Source organism: Homo sapiens, chromosome 17 (assembly GCF_000001405.40).
Source record: "Homo sapiens chromosome 17, GRCh38.p14 Primary Assembly".
Classification (NCBI taxonomy): domain Eukaryota; kingdom Metazoa; phylum Chordata; class Mammalia; order Primates; family Hominidae; genus Homo; species Homo sapiens.
The window spans coordinates 19328987-19343905 of NC_000017.11; the positions used below are offsets into that span (position 1 = coordinate 19328987).

Consider the following 14919-nt stretch of genomic DNA (forward strand, 5'->3'; position numbering starts at 1 on the left):
GCATTTGCTCCCCTCCTCCCCCTTAGCCTTTGTTCCTGATCCCCAGATCCCAGGTGCCCCAGTGTGAGAGTGAGTGAGTGCGAGTTCCCAGGCTTTGTGCGCTGGTACCTCCCTCCAAATTGAGGGGGCTTCCACCTGGGTGTTGAGAGAGAAGACTGCCCTGGGCCCACAGCCTGTGGGTCCTGTCCTCACCCCTGGGGGGCTGGGCAGGCTGGCCTCCAGGCACTCCTTCTGGTGACTTCCTACAGACCCTCATCCAAGCAACCAGACCCAGCTTGATGCACCTCCACCACTGCCAGCACCCCTTTGCCTTTTGGGGTGAGGGTGTTAGAAGCAGTAGCAGGTGGGCATCCCACACCCTGTCCTGGGAGGCCAGGCTCCCTGTCTCCCCTCCCAGCGTGCTGGTGACCCCAGGCTGTCTTGCCTCTTTGGCTCTCAGAATTCTCCTCCATGAGGTAGGGTAAGCGGGGAGAGGCCCCTGTTGCCAGCCCATCCTGAGGGTGTGCACTGGGCAGTGGAGTTGCCATGAAGTCCTGTGAGATGCCCCCAGTCATTGGCTTCTGTGTCCACCCAGGGTCCTTTGAGCTCTTCAGTAATCTGAATGGTACAATTAAAGATGACTTTTCTGAATTTGACAACCTTCGGACTTCAAAAAAAACAGGTATGTACAGGTGATGATGGTTTCCATAATCCTCCGTGCATTTGACCAGCTGAGTTATTGCAGAAATAATAATCAGCTTTCAAAACCCTTCAGCTTCCTGCATTTTCTTTGTATTTTGATCTTGGGAGCCTGAAGTTTCTAATTCTAAGAATTCATACATCAATAGTTAAAAATCACAAGGTAGAGTCCCCCAGGACTATGTCTCCAGGTTAGGATCCCCAAAGCTTCCTGCAGATTCCACAGCCCCGGCCTCCTCAGCTCAGAGTGGGCCTCACCTCTGGCCTGATCCAGCATTTCCATTCACCCTCCTCCTGCCAATTTCCACTCCTCAGAGGGCCTCCTTTTCCCAGACAACCACCTTTGGGCATCAGTGGGGCCAGCCTCTGCCCTGTGTTGTCACCTCCCAGGTGACCGCTCCAGCCCAGCAGACCCACAGTCCAGTCTCCAGACCTGTTTTCCTTCCCTGTGTGCCTCTGGGATGGAAGGATATCAGGTGGATGCAGTGGGCCAAGTGGCCAGTGGGCCAAGGTGGGCCTGGAGGGGTGGAGGGAGAAGGCCTGGGATGCATTCTTCACACACCCTGTTTGGACTGGGGTGTGACAGCCTCTGTCCATCTCTGGGCCACATCTCCCAGCCACACATGGCAACTTCTCTCTTTTTTTCTTTCCTGTCTTGGCTTCTGCTGCTTGCCTCCCCCAATTTCCCTACCACCTCTATCCCAGTCTCTTCTTTTTCTCCCTTCTCTTTTATCCCTCCCTACCAACTGTAGCCACAAGCCTGGCTAGGCCCTGGTGTGAGGTACAAGCAGCCTGGCACCGTTGACCCTGCTCGACCCCCTTGACCTCCTCTAACCCCTCTCAGTTCAAGAGCTCCCAGCTGAGAGACCAGAGGCAGCTTTGAGAATGTGCTGCTTTTTTGGGTCTTTCCTTTGCTGCATTAATAAGATTCCATGTGTCTTCTCTGTAGGCCAAAGTATAGCCTAACCTGTCCTTGACTCCTGCTCCGTGCCTCAGTGAGAAGGCAGCGTGGCCATTGTTACATGTCAGCTTTTGAAACATTTATCCCCTGCCGGTGCAGTGGCTCACACCTGCAATCCCAGCACTTTGAGAGGGCCAGCGTGGGAGGATTGCTTAAGCCCAGGAGTTTCAGACCAGCCTAGGCAACATAGTGAGACCCCCGTCTCTACAAAAAAATTAAAAAATTAGCCAGATGTGGTCGTGTGCACCTGCCTGTGGTCCCAGCTAGTCAAGAGGCTAAGGCGGGAGGATCCCTTGAGCCCAGGAGATTGAGACTGCAGTGAGCCTTGATCGATCGCCCAGGCTGGAGTGCACTGGTGTTATTGGTGTTTTGTTTTTTTGTTTTGTTTTGTTTTGAGTCTTTTTTGCTCAGCTCATATTGTCAGATAGAGTTGTCCTGCCCCTTGCCTCAACTTTTGTGGATTAACAGATTGAAAACATCTTCTCATGACTTTAAAACTTGTTAAAAAATACTTTGTTGCTATATAATCTCTCTTTATATGGCTCAGCAACAATTCAATAATTTGGGGGAGGACATTTTAGGTTGATTTCAGGTTTTGCTACTGTAAATGATGCTGTTGTGAAACTCTTTGTGCTTATAACCTTGTTCACATTTTACATTATTTGCTTAGACCAGATTCCTAGAAATGGGGTTACTAAGTGAGAGAATGACTGTTGTTAAGAATTCCTGTACCGTGAAGCATCCCGTCGTGGCAATCACATTCCTACCGGCCTGGCTCAGCACAGCCTGTGTTGCCTCTATGGGCTGAATTTTAAAAGACACAATTTGCTTTCTTTTTACTATCAAGAAGTTCATGTTTATTGTGGAAAATTTAGTAAATGGAAAATGTAAGAAAAAAAAAAAAAAGTAAATTGCCCATGCCTAGCTTCCAACCCAAAATGACATCTTGGTATTCTGGAGGAATGAGCTATACACACTCTTTTATAACCTGCTTTAGTATTTTGATAAAGCTTTCTTTGCTTATCATTAGGTATTCTTCTGTTCCTGCATGCTGGTGTTTCGTTATGTGGACACTTGATTTATCTAACCCAGCCCATGACTGGCTGTGTGTCGTCACGTGGCGCTGTCAGGCAGGCATGTCCCCAGGAGGCCATGTTTTGTGTTAAGTACACAGTCTTAGGCTCTCCCTGCCACACTCACCCTGCCATATGTGTCCTTGTCTTGTAGCCGAATCTGTGACCTCTCTGCCATCCCAAAACAATGGAACTACCAGCCCTGACCCCTTTGAGTCTCAACCCCTGACTGTCGCCTCAAGCAAGCCCAGCAGTGCCCGGAAAACACCTGAGTCCTTCCTGGGCCCCAACGCGGCCCTGGTGAACCTGGACTCACTGGTGACCAGGCCTGCCCCACCAGCCCAGTCCCTCAACCCTTTCCTGGCACCAGGTAGGCTCTCATCCCAGGCTTCATCCATTGCCTGCTGTGCCTGGGAATGGGTGTGCAGCAGGCCTCTTGGGGGCTCTTCCCACTGTGTGACGGGGAAGGGGTGGGACTAGCTGGAATCTCTAGATGATTACGTATGCCCTCGCCAGTGCTGCATGGGGTGGGGTGTGGAAGCCGTTGTCAGTTATGTGGGGAGTGTATGGGTAGGAAATAGCTCCTCTCCTCTCAGTTGAGACTACCAAGCAGAAACTGTCCCTGACTTGGTGCCCCCCCAGTTGTGAGACCCTCGAGGGAATGTCAGTTCTAAGACAGGTGGAGTAGGGTGGGCTGCTGGGGGTGAGGAAGAGCCAGGGTTTGGCGTGTAGCATTCCTCTCTCGGGAAAAATGTAACTTAGCCCTTGGGTACAAGCCTTCCTCCAGGTCCCTTGCTTCCACTCCTGGTGCCAGAGTCTGCCCCCTGCCCTCAGGGCTCAATGTTGGCTGCCGGCCAAGCCCCCAGCTGTTCAATTGGGTATCCAGGGCCATTATGGCCTGGTCCCACCCTCCTCTTCCCTTCCTGTGTGCATGAAACCCTTGTGACATCCAGCCCCTTGGCGCCCCTCAGCCTGTAGAGCCCTTCCTTAAGCCCAGGCTGTTACACACTCAGTTTCCCCTGCCTGGAATGTCCTCCCTCCTCTTCCCTAATGAAAGCATCTTCCTCATCCTTTGACACCTAGCTCAGATGACTCCCTTCTAGGAAGTCCACCCAGCCCCCTTCCTCACGGGGTTTCCCCAAAGCCTTGGGCTTCCCCCAGGGCAGGAATGTGTCACCCTCAGGTGTTCAGCCCCAGGCTGGCCCCACCATGTAGGGATCTGAGGATCTTGGGCCACCGTCCCTGACAGTACCTTGCAGAGGAGAATTACCACTGAACTTACAGAGGCTGAGGTTGGGGACCCTTGGGCAGAGGTGAGGTGTGTGGAGTTACTGGGTCCTGGCCAACCCTGAGGTCCTGAGATGGGTGAGGACATGGCTGCCCCCAGGGGAGGTGGTTCCCTGGGTGGAACTAGATTAGTTTCCAGCCTCCTCAGCCAGCCAGGAGTCTGTGTCTGCCCCAGGAGGCCTTATGCCTCTTCTGCCCAGAGAGCCCTTGAAGGCCCTGCAGGAGCTCCAGTGGTCATCTGTGTCTGTCAGCTCTTGGTGGGCACCTGGCTGGAGGCCTGAGGCAGCTTTGTTGGCTGCACACCAGTCATGGTTCCTGGGGGCTGCAGCCAAGATGGAGGAGGTTTGGGCAACTCTGCTGGACATACAGGGCCATTCTCCAGGCCACACAGGGTAGGGCCAGGCTGCATGGGAGAGTTGGTGCCAGCAGCGCACACACTTTTGCAAAGAAAAGGCTTTCTGGTATGAGGTAAATTCTGGAGACACTGGGAAAGACAAAGCTGCATCAACTTCTTGACTGCAGGATTTCTAGCCTTCGCGGTGTCATATGTGGATCCCTGGGTGCATTGTGGGCACTGCCACATGAGCCACACACTGCCAGTCCCATGTCCCTTTCAGCAAACAAAATGAGGGAGCAGTGGTAGCTGATGGCTGGTGAAGGTGTCCTGGGTGCCAGCACTGCAGAGGAGCCAGGGTGCCCCGAGATGGGTGTGTTCCTGGCATGGCCTTGTTCAGCTTTGTGACGCTGGACAAATCACTTGGCTTCTCACAGCCTCAATCTCCTCATCCTTAAAGTGCAGATTCATGCAGTCAGCAGATATTTGCTAGTGTCTGCCATGGACTCGGCCGGCACTGTCACGGGCTCTGAGGGCACAGCAGGGACCAGAACACCCGCATGCAGTCCCTGACCTGGGAGCTCAGAAAGCCACACCCTGACGGCTCAGCCTCTGCCCCTCCTTCTGTCTCCCCAGGTGCTCCCGCCACCTCGGCCCCTGTTAACCCTTTCCAGGTGAACCAGCCCCAGCCGCTGACACTGAACCAGCTTCGGGGGAGCCCAGTCCTGGGGACCAGCACATCCTTTGGGCCTGGCCCAGGAGTGGAGTCCATGGCTGTGGCCTCGATGACCTCCGCGGCCCCACAGCCAGCTCTGGGGGCCACTGGTTCCTCTCTGACACCACTGGGCCCTGCAATGATGAACATGGTGGGCAGTGTGGGTATACCCCCATCAGCAGCCCAGGCCACTGGCACAACCAACCCTTTCCTTCTCTAGTGCCTGGGCCTGGGACCCACCCAGAGCACCTGTGCTGGAGGATGCCGAGCAGGGACTCTCGTCTGTGGGACGGGATCCAAGAGTTTGGGGATTAGGGGTATTAGGGCTTTTCAGCTCCAGCTTCCTGATGAAAGGGCTGTCTTTACAGCCCCAACCCTCAGACCCTCGCCTTCCAAGGCAGGCCCCTCAGCCTGGCCTGCTCTCACCACCTCCTCCAAAGCACTGAGGTCCTGGCAGGGCTCCTCTGAGGCCTTGGACGAGGACGTGGAGTCATCAGTGTTGCCCTTGCCCCTAACCTCAGCCCGAGGGTCTCCAGGATGTTGCCTGGCCCAGGACTTGGGACAGTGGCCTTGTCTTTGTCCTCCCCACCCCCCAGCCCTAGGGACACCCCAGGCAGTCCTGGGTGTGGACACGATGAAGCACCGGCTCCATAAGACACCTTTTGGGGAAGTGGTTGTGCATATTTTATTTTTCTTTGACTCGTGTGAGTTCAAAGTAAACACCACCACCGTGGACAACTCTTGAATTAAATCCACTAGAGCGAGCTTTAAAACTAATCTGAGCATAACCCCCAACGTGGCTCTATGCTTGTGTACCTTTGCACATATTTTGTTTAGTACAGTTTCATATTTGAGTTTGCAGAATTATCTAATAGTCTTTTTTTGGCTAATATTTTTATAACGTGGTTCTTATTTAACTGTCTAGTTTTGATAGAATTTACCAGGTCTGGCTGAATGAAGATGTTGGCACGTGTCATTTTAGTGGTTTAAATCCTCTTATTTATGGTTTTAACTCTAAGAAAATTTTAAAAGGAAGAGATGTTTGGATGACAAAAAAATGCCTTATTGAAAAACTAAAGCAAATTCTTTATAGGAAGAAAATATGGGAATTTGATTACACATAGATGATGATGTTTATTTAAAAAAAAAACAACAGCAACAAAAAATCCTAGCCTCCAGTTGCCTTTTCCTTTCTTTAGCTCCTGTTTTTGGTGAATTACTAAACTGATTGACTTTCAGCCTTTTTGGCTAGATCCTGAGAGGCTATTTTTCTTACGAATATACCAACATCCTGAAAGTTAAAGAAAAAAATCTAATGTATGAATGTGACTCACCAATTTTTATCAACTAATTCCTTTTTTTTATTAAAGGCATGCAGGGATTAACAGGACTTCTGTTTACAATGGAAATCTGAAATGGAAGAAACATCTTTAACCTTGTGTGTCTGTGATCTCCTCTGTCTTAATCCACGCTCAGGCTAAAGATGGGGATAATGTGGAAATGGCAGTTGTCCCGAGGGCGTGGGGTGGGGGGTGCTTCTGTGCCCACGGGTCCCTGGGCAACAGTCCCTAGGCTAAGACAGGGGTGGGGGGCTAAGGGACCAGGGCTGGCCCTGATCCACCTACCTGCTAACTCCAGATATTATTTTTAAGTTGGAGACCTAAAAATAATTCTCTTGTATTTTGGAGATGAAGAAAAAAGTCATTCACCTGGGAGGGATTTTTAACAAACATGCACTAATATTACCTCCCTCTTCCAAACTCCTACTGTCCTCACCTCACCCACCACTGTAAAAGTATTACGTCGTGCATTAAAGACCAGAAAAGACTTGCTTTTACCCAGGGAGGGGACATTCCCCCAATCCTGTGTCTGGGCAGCTTGCCTGGTGGATGTTTCTGGCCCTTTTTCCACCATGGGAATTTCTCACCTCTAGCTCTAAGGGCAGCTGACCACCTGCCAGCCCCTCTCTGGTTCCAGAAGATTACCCTTCGCACCGGCACAGGAGAGATCTTAAATGGTCTCTGGGCTGCTGGGACATGCAGGCTCTGAGTGGGGACTGCACCCACTCATGCTGTTCCTGAGGCCGCCCTCTCCAGTCCCAGGAGCCGTGTCTAGAGTTCCTGACCAGCCACCTTCTGCCAGAACTGCAGGCCTGCGGCTGGGTCTTAGGCTCCCGCTGCCATTTGGGTAAGCCGGTGGCTGGTCTCGTCTGCCGGGGGAAGGGTGGGGAGGTGCAATGGGATGGGAGGCAGGATGCTTGCCCAGAAAGGTGCTTTCCTTCAGACGGTGCAGGGCCTGGGCCAGCCTTACAGGTCAGTAGACTAGACTCGACTACTTGGGGTCAGTGATTCTTTTGTAACGAGTCTTTCATGATGTGACTTTGAGGCCCCAACATGACAGCCACTGGGCCACCGGGACCCAAGAAGACAGCCCCCTGCCCCATCTTCTGGCACAGGCCATCCCGAGTGCATGTCCCTGTTGCCCACTGCACTGATCATGAAGCCACCGGCCACTGCCACGCATGTTGCACCTGTGCCATCGTGCTCCCTCCTGATGGGCACCGTGGTGGAGGAAGTCACCCAGCTGTTTCTCAGTCCCAGAGGCCGGTGGCTGGTTTTGAACTTGTGTTGACTGTTGATACTTATTTACTGTATAAATATAATTTATCATTTGTACCATGATGCGGTTTCTGGCTGTGTCCTTCTCCCACCCCATCTTCATCAGTCCTGTGCCACTGGAGAGGTGGGAGATGAGGGAGCCGATTCTTGTGGAGCTTGGTCTGCAGTTATTGAGGCCACCAGCCTGGTCCTAGTGCCCGCGTGAGCTGGGCATTTGGTTGCCCCTGAACCTCAGGGAAAGGGGGTGGGAGGCGTGCCTTTTGTGAGGTGCTGAGACTGGTGGCCTGCACGGGTGTGCTGGGGGAAGTGCTAGCCACTGCCCTTTACCCTTCTGTGTCCGCCCTCTTAATGCGGCCTTGTCACTGGTGGAGGCTGCTTTGGATGAGGTGGAAGTGACAGTGTGCCGGGTCCCCAGAGGCTTCCTGTGCTCTGCCTCCTCTTGTGTCCATGCTGCAGAAGAGCTGCTCTGGGAAGCCACTGCCTGTCAGCTGAGGCAACAGAGGGAGGGAGTGCGTGGAGCTGCCCAGCCAACTGCGTGTTCCTGAGAGGAAGGGCCTGTTGGAGCCACTGGTTCTTAGGTGGCTTGCTGTGCAACAGCTGACCGACAGAGGGCCTGTGCCTCAGAGCCACCAACCAGACGAGGGCAGCGGCGGGAGGACACGTGCATCTCCAGGCAGCAGAGGTGGAAGAGGTGCTCTGGTCACGGGAAGAGGCAAGGCCGAGGCAGAGGCGGCTGGGAGACCCTGATGGGAAGGGTTGGAGAGGCCTTGAGACGAGCCTGGAGGGAGGTCTGGGACTGCCCTGCAGCCCTCTGCTCTCTGTGCAAGTGCCTGGCTCCTGGTGTCCACCCAAGGATAAGCAGACAAGCTTGACTCAGAGCTAGGAGGCTAGGGACTGGTGGCAGGGGGTGCCCGTTCAGTGCAGGGGACAGGAGAGAAAGAAGGGTGTGTGGGATGCTCTTGGTTACGCTGCAGTAACACATCTCCAGGTCTCAGCGGCTTCCCGCGGAAGTTTCTCACAGAAGTCAGTGACTCAGGGACTCAAGCCGCTTTCATCTTGAAACACTGCTATCTTTGACAGACAGCCCTGAAGGTGGCTATGAAGGGAAAAATGGACAAGGGTCAAGCATAGATTTCTTACAGCCAGGCCTGGAATTGCCTCACTGCCACTCACACCAGTGCCAGAATTAGGCCCTCGGCCCCCATCCAGATGTGGGGTGGGTGGGGATGGGCAAGTGCAGGCTTCCTTAGTGGTGGAGGGTGGGAGGTGGGGAAATGGGCTTGGTTAACATTGCCAGTCTCTATCACAGCGGACTGTCTGGCTCCCAGAGAGTTATTTCAGTCTTCTTCTCAAACATAGACAGTAAGGTCCTGTGTCCTGGGCTCTGTGGAGTACAGAGCCTTCTCCAGCAAGGCAGACACAGCCTATAAACTAGAAAGACCTATGATCTGTGCCCTTCCCCCAACAATAACAACAAAGCAGGGCAGGGGTCAGTACCCACAGTCCAGCTCCATTTGGAGGAGCAGAGAATGGGAGACTGCCCCACAGTGCTGGAAGCTGCCGCACAGACTGAGGTCGCCTTGCGGTGAGGAGGGAAAGGACCTGATGGTGCCCTGCTCTGGGCTCTGCCCCCTGGTGGGGAGCTGGCCTTTTTTGTATTCCCTTGGCTGCAGCTCTTGGGCCAAGCTCAGCTTTCTCACCTGCTGCCTGTGGGTGGATGGTTCCAGGCCAGGACCTGTTTTGAGTGAGCCAGAGGCTTCAGTCCAGGCTCATGGACTTTGCACACTTCCATCAAAAATGTGGCAATCTTTGTACTTCTAATCAGTTCCATGTACAAATAACTGCATTATTTTGGTCAGAGTGTTACTTTGGTGGCCCCTGATGGACCTTGTCTCCCAGTGTGGTCTCCGTCACCTGATGGGCGTGGCCATATGACTAGATGGGGCCAGTGCCATGATGGCAGGAGGGGCTTGATAAATGCCTGCACATGGAGCTTGACCTCTTGGCATGTTCTGCTGGCAGCCCACATGTCGTACTATGAGAACTTCAAACACATGGAGAGGCCACATGGGGGAGAACGGAGGTGTTCTGTCAGTAGCCCCCATGAGCCCCAGACAACAGCCCACCATGTGAGTAATCATCTTGGTCAGCTCAGTGGAATAGCTCTAGCCAGAATCAAGTGTAGCATAGCCACCCAGCTGAGCCCAGTCCCCTGTAGGATCATGAGTGATAAATGATAGTGGTTTTAAGTGACAAAGTTTTGGGGTAATTTGTTACACAGCAATGGACAACTCAAGCACACACATAAAATTCTTTCCTAGACATAAGCTGCCTTATTTCCTTGCTGCCTTACCTCCATGCTTCTCTCAATTTAATGGTAGCTACCATGAGGCCATCTGGGATCATGATGGGAGAGCCACCCCCTTAATTCCGTATTTACCAAAAGACCAAGTTATTTTGTTCAGATGAGAAGTTTTATTATGCCTTTATTGCTGAAAGCAATTTTGAATCTTACCTTTTCTCATTAGAGTTTGAGAAAGTCTTTTGCAACCTTTTGATGCTAATTTTTTTTAGATTGTTGCCTTTCATTTCTGCTTGCAAACTAGCCAGTTCTTTCCTCCTTACTGTGATAGCATTCCAAAATGCAGTCAACAGTAGCCAACTCACACTGCACATCCTATCTGGCCTGTCCCTTTCCCCTAGAGCTGCTGTCTCTGGGGCACATAACCTGCCTCCCAAGTTAGCATGAGAGTCTTAGCAAATGTCTTGTACTTGCATAATATAGATCTCCTGCTGTCCAGCTTATGAGCTGTATTCTTTTTGCCTGCCACGCAGCTGCTTAGCCAACAAGAGTTTGTTTTTTCTGTTTTTTGGCTACAGCAGAAACCCACTCCTGATTTTCATATCATTTGCAATAGAATAGGCTATGCAGGATCAAATAACCCCAAGCTCTCATTGGCTGAGCACAGTATCTTATGAGTGTTTCTCACTCACAAAAAGCCTAATGGAGATGTTCCTGGCAGTGCTCTGCAAGCTGGGGTGCCCAGACTCAGGCTCCTCCCTTATGATGCTGCTTTCTTCAATGTGTGCCTCAAAGGGTGCCATGGACAAGAACGAGAAGTGCTTGTGTGACCCTGAAGTGGGTCAGACCTCTCAGTGGTGAAGATCCTTTTCATACTTTGCTTTGGCTAGAACTACCCAAATGGACCCACCTTGATACAAGGGGCCTAGGAAATGTAGTCTTCTGGTGTGCCAGGAGAAAAGGGAGATAGGCTGGTCAACATGCAGCTTTGTGACACCGACAGCATGGACAGCAAGTAAGCGTGGACCTGCAGGCCGTATGCCTCGACTGTCCTCATGGAGGGGGTCCCACATGCCCAACCCCCCCCCCCCCCCGGCTTCCCGGGCACTCGCGCCTTCAGCCTCTTAAATCTCACTGCATCATCTCTTACCTTGACTGGGCAGGGATGCAAGGAGCTTTGTGAAGTGACAGTGACATTTCTGTGCCTTTGGGGCTGGGTTGTGCATTCTTTTTTGAGATGGAGTCTCCCTCTGTCGCCCCGGCTGGAGTGCAGTGGCACAGTCTTGGCTCACTGCAACCTCCACCTCCCGGGTTCAAGCGATTCTCCTGCCTCAGCCTCCCGAGTAGCTGGGATTACAGGCGCCCGCCACCATGCCTGGCTAACTTTTTGTATTTTTAGTAGAGACGGGGTTTCACCATGTTGGCCAGGCTGGTCTTAACAGTCCTGACCTCAGGTGATCCGCCTGCATCAGCCTCCCAAAGTGCTGGGATTACAGGCGTCAGCACCATGTCCGGCCTGGTTGTGCATTCTTAAAGTATTCTTGGCCAGGCGCAGTGGCTCATGCCTGTAATCCCAACACTTTGGGAAGCTGGTGCAGGCGGATCACCTGCGGTCCGGAGTGCAAGACCAGCCTGGCCAACATGGTGAAACCCTGAAACCCTGTCTCTACTAAAAATACAAAAATTAGCCAGCTTCAGTGGCAGGTGCCTGTAATTTTAAGCTACTCGGGAGGCTGAGGCAGGAGAATCACTTGAACCCGGGAGGCAGAGGTTGCAGTCAGCCAGGACCGTGCCACTGCATTCCAGCCTGGGCGACAGAGTAAGACCCTGTCTCAAAAAAAAAAAAAAAAAAAAAAAGAGTTACGCATTTTGTTGTACGTAAATGTCCCCTCAAAAGAACACACTAAAGCCAGACACTGGATTCTGGTTAATGGTAAGTGTGCTGAAATATACAGAAGGTGGAGTCCTGATTTCACAGTTTATTTTGAAATGCAATAAAAATAGGATGGATTGAAGCAGGGATGAATAGTTGGATATATGTGAATATACAAGTACGGAACAGGAAATTGGTAATGGTAAAATCTAGGTGGTGGGTATGTGGTGTTCACTGTAAAATGATGTCAACTTTTCCACATTTAGACATTTCAGTAATGTTGAGAAAAATTGGAAAATTAAACATAACCAGAAGAGGGTGACTTAGTATTTCCCAGCTGCTGACAGGCTGGACAAATGGGGCCTGAGGCTTGTACGTGCACACCACAGGCTAGAGGCTTCAGGGAAGCTTCAGGTCCCCTTGATGTGGACCAAGGCCAGTGCCCTGGGTGAGGTGAGGCCATGGACAGAGAAGACAGCTTTCCGGGGAGCTGTGATAGCTGTGATAAAATGGGGCAGAGGACAGGAGCAGCTGAGGGTGCTGGGCTTTTGCTCTGTGTCGTCCCATGACACGTGGGGCACATGTGGAGGCTGGCGTGAAGGAGCCCGTGTAGGAAAACTCACGATGGAGGGAGAAGGGGAGAAGAAAGACCCTTGAGAGCACTGTATCTCCCACACACCTGAGGCATGTCCTCAGGTAGGGTAAGGAAGGCAGCTAATGTGGGGTGGTTGTGGGAACAGAAGGGAGCGCCTTAGCTAAGCTGGCAGGGAGGGTGCTGGAGGCCTGAAGAGACAAAGGCTGTTAAGTTTCCTCAGAGAATGCATGAGGGAGTTGTCTAGGGAAACACAGACCTGGGCCATGGATGGAACGCGAGCCGTTGTGGCTCTGGGGGCTCAGGCAGGTGCAGGGCAGGCGAAGGAACAGCTGGCTGTCACCAGGGTGGAGACCTTGCCAGGTGAGCATAAACGAAGGATGGAGGGCACTATGGGAAGTGCATGCAGATGACCAAGAGTTCTAAACTGGGCTGGGAGGAAAGCAAGGAAAGAGGGGCTGATGGTTGGCGAAAAGGGGCTGGGCCAGGAGCTTGGAGGGCCTGGTGGTTTGAAGAGCACAGGGAAGCGCCACATGAGGGAGGGCCTGGCCTGAGGGAGGGATGCCTCAATCCAGACTTTGGAGGCAGTGCCTTCACCAGTAACAAGAGATATGCCTGCCTGGCTGTGAGGGGTAGAGGTGAAGACAGACTGTTCCAAGTGAGGAGGTTGAGGAAGAGGCAAGGACACACCCCTGCTCTAGGCTCACCGCACATGGGGAGTGGGAGGAAAAAGATTCCACTTAAGAGGGCTGCAGGGTACTGAGTGGGCTTCAGTAAGGCCAGAAGGCAGAGGGAACTTCCTATTCCGAGAAGATGGAATCACAGGAATTTTGCTGACAACAGACGATGAGTTTCAGAACGCACAGTGAGTTGGGGGGAGGGCACGGGAGTGCTCGTGAGATAAAAGGCAGAAGAGGGTCGGCCCAGATGGTCTCAGGGCAAGTGCCATGACGACAGTCCAGGGCAACATGGGCGAGGCTGGGAGGTGGGGGTTTGCCAGGAGCCTGTGGTTTCTCTTGGATCCCGCTGAGGGCAGTATCTAGGCTGGGGCACCATGTCTGCCGAAAGCTCAGTGGCAGGGCAGAGAGGGCCTGGGGCTGCCTCGTGAGGTGCGAGGGGTTCTTGTGAAGGTGGGGAGGCCCAGGGTCAGGGCCTCCCAAAGTAATGCTGAAGGGGCTCTGCTTCCAGAAGGGCCTGGACAACCTCAGAGGTCAGGGTGTTGAGCCAGGGGGCTCACCTTCCTCTCCTGCCAAGGGGCTGCCAGAAAGCTGGACCCCAGCCAGCGGCCTCCCACCTCTGAGAGGTTTCCAGCCCCCATCCTTGGACTGTGGGTAGGGGGGCAGAGAGGGGAGTGGGCAGGCTGAGGGTCTGCCATCCCCCGGGGTACCTCACCATTCCAGCTCCCAATAACAGGGTTCTGTCCTTGCCAAGGGAGGCTGGTGGCCAGAAGCATGGCTGAACGGGTGATTCTACTTAACCCCAAGCCTCTAAGGAGGGTGCCATGCCCAGTTAGTTCAAGGAACAATGTGTTGCGGTATAGAAAAGGCCACACAGCTTTGAGTGGCAGAACCTGGTTATGTCAAAGCTCCCATCCCACATGCCATCCTGCTGCACGGTCTGGTCTCCTGGCAGCTTCCACGGCACAAGGGGTAGGGACAGGGAGAGCCCTGGAGGTGGGGCCAGGAAAGGCCCAAGAGCCCCCAGCTCCTGTGGGGGAGGGGCTAAACAGGAGAGAAGGCAGCCCCAGGCCTAGGCTCTCTGAAAATGAGACTTTATTATACAAAACTATTCTGTGTGCCCCCAGCTCTGGCCACCAGGCTGCCCCTCAGGCCGATGGGCAGCGGCTGACTTCGGGAAGGCAGCCCTTCATTATCAGAGACTGTGCAGCCTGTGGAGCCTTCACTGGGGGAAGCTCTGGGGTGGGCTGGGCCCCAACACACCCTGTGTATCAGAAGGCCCAGTGTCATAGCCCAGTTTCCTCATGTCCTTGGTCACCACGTTGAAGAGGAGGGTGACAAAGCCCTGAGAACGGACACGGGTCACTGGGGACAGAAGGGCAGCATCAGCCAGGCTGGGCTGGGGCAGAGAGAGACCCAGGTTGATCTGGGAATCTCAGCCTCAGCGTTCTCATCTGTAAAATGGGGACAACAGTGCCTGACCCAAGCCCCTCACTGGGAGGTAAAGGGGCTGCCGGGACAGGCAGACATGACAAACCCTCTGTGCTCCAACCAGGCCCTCATCTGGGAACATTTGTGGGCTAGCTCCTATGTGCCTGGCAGGTCCCCGGCATTCACCCCAACCCTGGGCCCACCCACTCCCAGGCTGTAACCTGTATGGGGGATGGGGGTAAGAGAGGGGAGGGAGCTTTACCTTCCCGGCCTTCACCCTGAGCCACCACCTTGGGGTCTGTGTACTCGGGCCGCCGCCCCATGAACCAGCTGGGAACACAGAAGAACACAGGTGAGCAGGGCCCCACCTGGGCATTC

The 14919-nt window shown here is 53.3% G+C and overlaps 2 protein-coding genes across 17 annotated transcripts in view, besides 7 other annotated features; one reads left to right on the forward strand and one right to left on the reverse strand.

Annotated features, from left to right (window-relative positions):
* Positions 1-7729, forward strand: part of EPN2 (epsin 2) — a 99350-nt gene extending 91621 nt beyond the window's left edge. For all 3 annotated transcript variants that reach the window (NM_014964.5, NM_148921.4, NM_001102664.2), the window contains 3 exons: positions 575-661; positions 2867-3082; positions 4970-7729. In NM_014964.5, the coding sequence (NP_055779.2) occupies positions 575-661; positions 2867-3082; positions 4970-5268 (602 nt within the window). In that variant the 3' untranslated portion in view covers positions 5269-7729. The remainder of the gene's footprint in view (positions 1-574; positions 662-2866; positions 3083-4969) is intronic.
* Positions 1018-1212: a silencer, noted in NCBI's record as "fragment chr17:19233317-19233511 (GRCh37/hg19 assembly coordinates)". NCBI's record gives its function as "represses an EF-1alpha promoter that drives an FKBP-Casp9 reporter gene in an ReSE screen in HepG2 liver carcinoma cells {active_cell/tissue: HepG2}" and the evidence as "EXISTENCE:reporter gene assay evidence [ECO:0000049][PMID:32094911]".
* Positions 2525-3297: an enhancer, noted in NCBI's record as "H3K4me1 hESC enhancer chr17:19234824-19235596 (GRCh37/hg19 assembly coordinates)". NCBI's record gives its function as "activates a minimal SCP1, AML or CMV promoter by ChIP-STARR-seq in naive H9 embryonic stem cells {active_cell/tissue: H9 hESC(naive)}" and the evidence as "EXISTENCE:reporter gene assay evidence [ECO:0000049][PMID:30033119]".
* Positions 3754-3903: an enhancer, noted in NCBI's record as "active region_11854". NCBI's record gives its function as "activates an Ori minimal core promoter by ATAC-STARR-seq in GM12878 lymphoblastoid cells {active_cell/tissue: GM12878}" and the evidence as "EXISTENCE:reporter gene assay evidence [ECO:0000049][PMID:35858748]".
* Positions 3974-4023: an enhancer, noted in NCBI's record as "active region_11855". NCBI's record gives its function as "activates an Ori minimal core promoter by ATAC-STARR-seq in GM12878 lymphoblastoid cells {active_cell/tissue: GM12878}" and the evidence as "EXISTENCE:reporter gene assay evidence [ECO:0000049][PMID:35858748]".
* Positions 4844-5615: an enhancer, noted in NCBI's record as "H3K4me1 hESC enhancer chr17:19237143-19237914 (GRCh37/hg19 assembly coordinates)". NCBI's record gives its function as "activates a minimal SCP1, AML or CMV promoter by ChIP-STARR-seq in naive H9 embryonic stem cells {active_cell/tissue: H9 hESC(naive)}" and the evidence as "EXISTENCE:reporter gene assay evidence [ECO:0000049][PMID:30033119]".
* B9D1 (B9 domain containing 1) overlaps positions 5709-14919 on the reverse strand; it is a 43219-nt gene continuing 34008 nt past the window's right edge. For 4 of the 14 annotated variants that reach the window (NM_001368769.2, XM_047435756.1, XM_047435753.1 and 1 more), the window contains 2 exons: positions 14804-14871; positions 5709-8762 (listed from right to left, as the gene is read on the reverse strand). In NM_001368769.2, the coding sequence (NP_001355698.1) occupies positions 8734-8762; positions 14804-14871 (97 nt within the window). In that variant the 3' untranslated portion in view covers positions 5709-8733. Of the gene's footprint in view, positions 8763-11118; positions 14872-14919 lie in introns of those variants that run through there. The other 10 variants (XM_047435751.1, XM_047435754.1, XM_047435752.1 and 7 more) reach the window with 10 other exon arrangements.
* Positions 9006-9215: a silencer, noted in NCBI's record as "silent region_8287". NCBI's record gives its function as "represses an Ori minimal core promoter by ATAC-STARR-seq in GM12878 lymphoblastoid cells {active_cell/tissue: GM12878}" and the evidence as "EXISTENCE:reporter gene assay evidence [ECO:0000049][PMID:35858748]".
* Positions 12366-12933: an enhancer, noted in NCBI's record as "H3K4me1 hESC enhancer chr17:19244665-19245232 (GRCh37/hg19 assembly coordinates)". NCBI's record gives its function as "activates a minimal SCP1, AML or CMV promoter by ChIP-STARR-seq in primed H9 embryonic stem cells {active_cell/tissue: H9 hESC(primed)}" and the evidence as "EXISTENCE:reporter gene assay evidence [ECO:0000049][PMID:30033119]".